The 8,095-nt window shown below is 40.1% G+C and overlaps 1 protein-coding gene across 14 annotated transcripts in view, besides 1 other annotated feature; it reads right to left on the minus strand.

The window, feature by feature from the left end:
- The window catches only part of PEX5L (peroxisomal biogenesis factor 5 like), a 241,980-nt gene extending 234,729 nt beyond the window's left edge, over positions 1–7,251 (minus strand). For all 14 annotated transcript variants that reach the window (NM_001349404.2, NM_001349401.2, XM_047448299.1 and 11 more), the window contains exon 1: positions 6,893–7,251. Coding sequence is in view for 11 of the 14 variants with exons in the window: in XM_047448299.1 (XP_047304255.1) it covers positions 6,893–6,913 (21 nt within the window). In the remaining 3 variants the exon portion in view is untranslated. The remainder of the gene's footprint in view (positions 1–6,892) is intronic.
- Positions 7,317–7,366: a silencer, noted in NCBI's record as "silent region_14925". NCBI's record gives its function as "represses an Ori minimal core promoter by ATAC-STARR-seq in GM12878 lymphoblastoid cells {active_cell/tissue: GM12878}" and the evidence as "EXISTENCE:reporter gene assay evidence [ECO:0000049][PMID:35858748]".

The following is an 8,095-nucleotide window of genomic DNA, read 5'->3' on the forward strand; positions in this document are numbered from 1 at the left end:
CAGTTTTCTCAGACCTGTGCTTCTCAAATGTTAGTGTGCATATAAATCACTGGTTCCTTCAAAAAAATCAGTTCCTGATTCAGTAGGTCTGGAGTTGGACTTGAGATTCTGCATTTCCAATAAGCTCCCATGTATCTCATGTGTACATAATCCCCTGCCGAATCAAATGTTATATCCCTACATGATCAGCAGATCACTGAGGATGGGCATGCACGTTACAGTTAACAACCATGTGAAGGGAGGTGAAGGGGTGCTTTGCAGCTCTAGCAGGTTCATTTGCTCATGGTGTTTTAATTTTTCTTCTTTCTCACTTTCTTAAGGAGCTTCCATATTTTCTGACCTTTCACTGTTTCTGATCACTTTTCATGACAGTACTGGCAGGGCTCTGTCAGAGGCTCACCCAAATACTGACAAACAGGGAATATTTTCCCAGGAAATGTTGGATTTTGCTGGTCATTACTTTAGTCGACTACAACCATTTCGATAGGGACACAAACTCACATATACCTAGTGTGAGGGTCTTTCCCATGGTGCTTCTCACTGGGTTTCTCCACAAGGCATAATGTCTTGGAATAGGGGCCTATGTGTGCACAGTGTCACTGTGATCTGCTCACCCATATCTCTCCCTTCACCCTACGCCTCTTCCATCTCCAAGAGGGCATCTTGCCAAACTGGGTGCTAGATCCGGTACATTCTTATTGTCTCCACCTTGAGGAAACTTTTTACCTTACCCTAACTTAACACCAGTTTTAACCCTCAAGGCTGTATAGAACAATGTTATCCCTTTCCTAAATAGCCAGCCCTTCAAATACTTATATAGAGTCATCATGGTCTCCTTGAGTCTTTACTTTCCCAGCCAATATCCCCAGTTCTTTCAATCATTATTCATATGACATGGTTATGAATTCCTCTACCATACCAGTTGTTTTAAGAACCACATGATTTTTAAGAGGGTGTGTGGGAGTGGGGATTTTGTGACTCCCTAGGTAGATTTCTGGCATCACAACAACACCGTTCTTCTCCTGGAATTTCCATGATTCATAGATCACCATATGGCATTCTGTTTGGGGAAAATAACTTGCTACATCAAGTCTCACTTGCAGGGTTTATCTGGTTTTCCAGAGGTACGTGCACATGAGTAGAAACTTTGGGGAGTTGTGCATGCACCTGAAATTCTAACTATTTCACTTGGGTCAGGTTAACCCCATTTTGGAGCTGCTGGCGGGGATTTTTGTCTTTTTTTTTTTTTCAATGAAATGGCAAAACAGCCTCTTCCTATCTAAATGAGCTCATTATTTTTCATCTGTGCTATTTCTTACAGTGGTGTCTAAAAAACAATCCAAAAGTTTGATCCATTTAGTGAAATCTTACATGGAGTATGACAATGGATATTTATCTAATGGATATTTATACTAATAAAAAAATAGTATATTTGTTACTAACTAGTAAGAATCAGTCAGCATGACATTATAACATTGGCAGTGTGTTGTATTATTACGCCTTGAGCAATTGTCTTGATAGTTAATGAATAGAGTATTAACTATCTTCCTGTTTATACTCTATAATATAGTAATATATAAGCTATAATAATTTTTCTGAGCAGACTGGGAAAGAAAGTCTCATTTGGTATCCCTACTAAAGGGGATGGTATAGGTGAGGTGAGGTAGAAGTGGATGAGGTGGGGGGTAAGGAAAAGGTCACTGAAAGAAACATAACCCCCACTTCATAGCACTCTGGCCTTGGATTCATGCAATAGTTCAAGATGATTTGTGTTTTATATGTTCTGAATTATAAAAAGGTGAAAAATGTTTCAGGAACTTGGTTACTAGTTTTCTCTGTCAGCATATTTGAAATTATATTTTTAGATGTCCCAAACATTCAGATTGGATTTAGGTTTCTTAATAAGGACACACTAGGCTGGAGTTTACCTTTACATTTAGCGTTAGAATTGCACACTGGTTATCCTATAAATGTATCAAGAAGGTAATTTTAAAATATAAAACCTTTTAACAGCTTTAGCTTATGTTGGAAACATGTGATCTCAATGAAAAGTGTAAAAAAGCAGCCTGCCAGATGTTTTGACTACATGGTGTATCACATCTTAATGTTTCCAGGATTGGCAGTGGTAATACTAGAGATTCAAAATTGTAGAGTTAACAAGTTGTGTTTTAACCTTTTCTTATTCTTTACTTTAAAAAATGTTTTATAATAAAAACATTTATATGATGAAATTTTTACTTTCAAACACATGTTTTTAGGAGGAATATTTATAAACCACAAATAAAATCTACAAAGACTATATTGTGTTTCTTATAGTAAGTATATAAACTATTGGCCAGTATGGCTGGGGAATGAGATTTTCAGATTAATCAAGTATTCTGCTAATGCATACCACAACTATTATAACTTTCAAGTGTTAAAAGCTCAACACTACATCCATACCAAACATGATTTGCATGTGAATATACAGGAAGACACTTCAGAATCTTGCTGGAGCTTGTGTCATAATTTTGATCAACAGCTTAAATGTACATGAATTTGCTTCAACAGAGTTCTAGTTAATATTTCATCATACTTATGCTCATCATTACCTATAAGATGACATTTGAGGAAGAAGACCAGGTGCCACTTGAACTGAGATAACAAAGGGGGAGAGGAAGGCAGCAGCAACCACTGACCAAAACAACACAACAAACCCCAGCACTGCTCACTCTCCTGAAAATGCCACCCCCGTTCCAACTCTAAACTAATCTCAAAGACTCGCCTCTGAAAATGTGTGTATGTGTGTGCGTGCAGGTGGTTTATTGCTATTAGTCATATCTTTGCTAGCAGTTAATGCCTTAGCAAAGGGTTAAGAAAGAAAGAACACAGGATGGAAAAGGGTGAGCCGGGAGCTGCGGTTCATGCCTGTAATCCTAGCACTGTGGGAGGCAAAGGCGCGTGGATCGCTTCAACTCAGGAGTTCAAGACCAGCCTGGACAACATGGTGAAACCCTGTCTCTACAAAAAATACAAAAATTATCTGGGCATGGTGGCATGCACCTGTAGTCCCAGCTACTTGGGAGACTGAGGTGGGAGAATTGCTTGAGCCAGGGAGGCATAGCAAGCAGTGAGCCGAGATTGGGCCACTGCACTCTAGCCTGGGGGACAGAGAAAGACCCTGTCTCAAGAATTAAAAAAGGTGGTACCAGGAGGGAAAAAAGTGGATCTGTTAGAGAGGTGGAAGTACCCATGATAAATATCATCTGCTTTACAGTTTTGCTGAGGGCCTCAATTATGATAACCTACTGTTTAGGGTATTGAAAACAACGTTCTACAGTCTTACCTTCAATTGGTTTCTTATGTATTTTGTTTCTAGTGAACCTAAATAAATCACCAGGGGCGAGATCTAATGTACTAACATAACTTAAATTACCTAAGCTATTCCCCTTTGTAGAGATTTTAAGAAAAATCTTAAGTAAAGTCATATAGAAAAACAAATGCAAAACTCCCCTGGGGGAAAACAAATGGCTACTTTTTGGGCTGTTAATAATCTTACAATTTTTGTCATTTAAATTTTCCTTAGTTTATGTCTTGTGAAGCTAGAGGGTGTGGAATGATTCCCCAGACAGCTTGAATAAGTCAAAAAGTCTGCTTTGAATGCCTAAAATAAAGATCAGTTACAATTACAAATAGATTTTTTGTTTGATTGCCTTCTGAAATAACTTTCTTTTATTAAAAAACCCATTGCTGTGGATTCTTCAATAACAATTCAAAAAATCTTAGTAGAAAATTGAAATTATATTTCTCTGTATTTATACCACCCCAGAAATAAAACAGCTAGGTTAAGAAAACATTGAGAGACATGTAATAATTTCCTCTAACTGGAAATGTTAACTCAAATGCACATAGGCAAATAATCACCTCAGCCCTGAACATACAGAGGTATTGGTGGAATTAAGACCATAGGCCCTCAATGAGCAACAGAGTTTTGTCAGAACCGATGCTAAAGTATATTCAATCATCATCAGTGCCCTTGGTCAAAAGAAAAAAATAAGTAAATCTAAAACAGTCACAAAAGAAGCAACCTTTGCTTCATTTACTGGGGTGACTAACTCCCCTTGGAAATAATTGGTAAGGCAGCTGGATAAAAACATAGCTCCAGGACCCTGCTCCTAAGAAATATACCTGCGGCTTTTACTATGAAACCAAGAAATATCTGTTACTCTATGCTCTATCTGTAATAGATGCCAACTTTTATTTTCTAATGAACTAGCAGAGCAAACCAAATGTGTGTTTTTAAAAGTCTGCGGTTTCTAAAATGAATTCAGATTCTACCATAAACCAGATGAATTAGCCATATGTATGAGAATTAATAGACTTTATCTGCAAAATCATTAAGTTGCAAAAACAAAGGCACCACAGGAGTTTTAAATTAGACTATTTTTAAGTCTTCCTGAGAACACCTGCCCCTACTTCAAACTGCTAATTTACAAAGCACTTTATTTTAAAGTCTCTTGGATACAGAAAAGAGAAGAATTAGAATGCATAGCAAAAGATTGCAAACATTTCTGTTTCACTCTTGTTTTAAGGTATCAGTCAAGTAACATTATGTTTCAAATTAACTCCAAAGCTGGCAGAAATGTTAGTAAATCTGCTTATCCCTGGTCCACTTTACCAAATATGGATTCAGATTTTAATCATACACATTTTGGAGTGTTTGGAATGTGTTTCTTCTTATCTGTGATTAGAGTCAGGTACACACAGGAAGATGATAGTATCTCTGATAAGGAAACGTTATTTTGTCCATAGGCTAAATAATATTCTTTGGGGGAAGAGATATGAGTTTAAAATGTAAGCCAACAAGTATATTATGAATCAATCTGTCATAGGTATTTTTTTGTTGGGGGGAGCAGATGCCCATTCAGATCATCATACTATTGAATAACTACTAAACGTACCTACTAAGGCCTCGGAAGTTTTATGCTTAACATTAATGGTTAATAGTAAGTAGGAAAAAAGTATTATGCTCTGAAATTTTGGTGGATGTATTGATTACAGTCTTTATTTAGTAATGTTTTAATTTAAGCTTGGCAGCAAAGATTTGTGAGTTTTACTGCAAGTCATCATATTTGCTGTTACAGCAGTGCACAAGCAAAAGACATTAAGTTGGGAGAATATGCAGAGTCTTATATTTTGTTTATTCTTTCAAAGTGAAATTAAACCCTCAGACATTGTTCCAGGCAACTCAAGTTTCAATAACATTCTCCTTTGAGATATTGAGAAAATTGAGTTAAAATTGTTTTTGGGTGCATGAATTTACCATATTGTTGCTTCGATTCTTCATTCACAGTAACATATTTTTTAAGCAACAAAACAATACTGTGCAAAGTTTTTGTTAATTTCCCCTTAGTGGTCAATTGTCAATTTTGTGTAAATGAACAATTTTTTGAGGGTTGACTCTATTAAAATCTTCCTGTTTTACCCTTGTGAAGAAACTGTTTAAAAAACAGATAATATATAAAATTGTAAGTATCATTCTTGGGTGAAGATGAAGCATAAAACTATAGTAATAATTCTTTGTTAATTTTTTCAGCAGTCATTATTTGAATTCTTCTATGTTACTTAACTTTTCAATTGGTGTAGCTTTTATAAGAAACATGCAGATCACATTGATCATATATAATATTTAAAAATATACTTCATTCACTACTTTTTGTCTATCAAATGTGATATAATCACATTAATAATTTTCAAAACAGGATGATGTTAGTCATACGGGAAATCTTTTGGAATTCTGGCACTGTATATTGAGAATTCTTATAAAAATTGAGACTATGATGAAATATTGTGTTTTATTTAAAAATGGATTATAGTCCAAAAGAATTTCCCTAAGTTATGGAAATTAAATCTGGGTAGTACTAAGTCATAAATATAACAACATATTTATCTATTTCCAATTGCTCTAAAAGACACAGAAGCAAAATCCTCAGTATTCATAAATGTTATACACCAGGATAAAGGCATCACACATAATGATTGTATTTGACCATCTTTGGAATGGAAAGGAAGCCCAAACATCAAACCTGATGACTAAACCATTTAGGTGCGATAAAGAGTCCAGTTCATACTTTAGAAAGCTGAGTTAGTATTTTATTTTTCTCCCAAAGCATATATCTGCCTTTATAAGAACCAACCAACCGTATGAATGAGAACTGGAGTCAAGGTTAAAGTAATCTTGCCCAAGAGAGTAGAGTGTGTTTGCATCGGAAAGAAGCAGCGGCTCAGCTCAGATGAATATTAATAACAACCGGAGGCAGCACCTCCCCTGAAAAACATTAGAGCTCCTTGGACATGTGTTTGAAATTCATCCTCCCAAGTCATCCTGTGACTATTGGAGTAGATGGCAATGTCCCATAATGTGAAGGGGGAAAATACACTATAAATCGTTTTTTAAATATAACACTTTAAAAAATGAAACGAAAGTGACAGAGTGTTCTAAGTCAAGCAACCTTTTCAGATGGTAAAGGAAAAGCTTTGTCTTTCCTATTATTGTTTGCCCTTCAGTTGACATACATGCTGAGATGCATCAATAGGATTACAACGGAAACACGGTCATCTCTAGGGTTTCCTCTGTTTCGATTCCTTGATCCTGTTTAAAGAAACAGGCTCAGGGAATGCACAGAAAACAAACTTCCCCAATCGAAGTTCTGAGGTCTTCCCTCCCCTTCTCCCACCTTCGGAAACCGGTCTAGTTTTCCCGGCAGCACCGGACAGAAATGTCACGGTCATGTTGCATCACTTCACTTGTTGAGCTGTGCGAAGGCAGCACTTGACCACAGAAACTTGGTGAACCGCCTTGCTCTTAAATTAGCCCCCAAGAATTCTCTCCAGCCCTATAGAAATGTCTTACCTGCATGTGTCCCTGGTACATTCTGCTTCGGTTTCTTCAGGGCTCCCTGAGGCCACCGGATGCTTTTCCCCCGTGCTTACTTGCCCACCAAAAGAGGGGAAAAGGTGGGTGCACAGCGGGTTCTCAGAGGGTGCTCCTGAGCCCCCTGGAGCTCCGGGTACTCGGCCGGCCGGCGGCCACTCGGCAGCGCTGCGGGCTGCCGGGAACTGTTCTCCGCTCGGGGTGCTGAAAGCGGACGCGGGAGAGCGCGCAGAGAAGGCGAGGAGCCGGGTCGGCCAGGCTCTCCTGCAGGCGCGGGTCCTGCTCGCGGGGCGTCTCTAGAACTCACTCCTTCTTCGCCGAACTCTTTCTCGCTTCCTGCCAGGTTGCCTCATGTCTCTCTCTCTCTGAGCTGCGAACCCCCTCCTCCCAGCCCTGACGTGAGCGCCTACACCAGCCGCCGCCGCAGCTGCCGAGCGGGGCGCGCGCCGTTCTCCCAGCCGCGTGCCTGCCGAGAGGCCGCGGGACCGGGCACGCGCGCGCGTTCCCAGGGGCCTGGGAGCGGCCCGAGGGCGGCCCCGGGCGGTGCGCGCTCCCCGAGCGCGTCCTCGGGGCTGCGCGCGCGCGGCGGCAAGGCGAGGTGCCGGCAGGCGGTGGTCGCGCTGGTGTACAACGCCCGCAGCAGCGCGGCGTTCAGGTGCGGCGTCGGCGGGCAGGGCGATTCTAGCGGAGAGGATGGCCGGCCGGAAGAAAGGCGGGAAGACATGCATCGTCTCTCCGGGGGCCATCCACCGCGGCTGAGCCTGTTATCCTACAGACATTATAGGCTGAGTGCAGGGGTTGCCGAAGAGTTTACTTCGGTTCTGATTCAGCTCTCGAAAGTTACGTCCGTATCACCCGTTAAATAAAGACTCCCCGCTCCCCTCATCCCCAGTTCATCGCCGAGCATTCTATTTAAAACGGCAAACCCTAGTCCCTGAGGATCTGGCATGTTTTATTTTTTTCCCTAGCACGTAACATCACCTAACATCCTTTATATTTTCCATATTTATTTTATGTACTGTCTGTCTCTCCCTCTGTACAATGTTATTTCCATGAGATCAGGGACTTTTTTTTAGGGGGGTGGAGTGTTGCACTTGGTTTTGCACGTGTGTGCACAGTAAGGTATTTAGTACTTCCTGACACATGGCAGGCACACAATAAATATTTGCTGAATGAATAGAC

The sequence above is a fragment of the Homo sapiens genome, chromosome 3, assembly GCF_000001405.40.
Source record: "Homo sapiens chromosome 3, GRCh38.p14 Primary Assembly".
Lineage (NCBI taxonomy): Eukaryota > Metazoa > Chordata > Mammalia > Primates > Hominidae > Homo > Homo sapiens.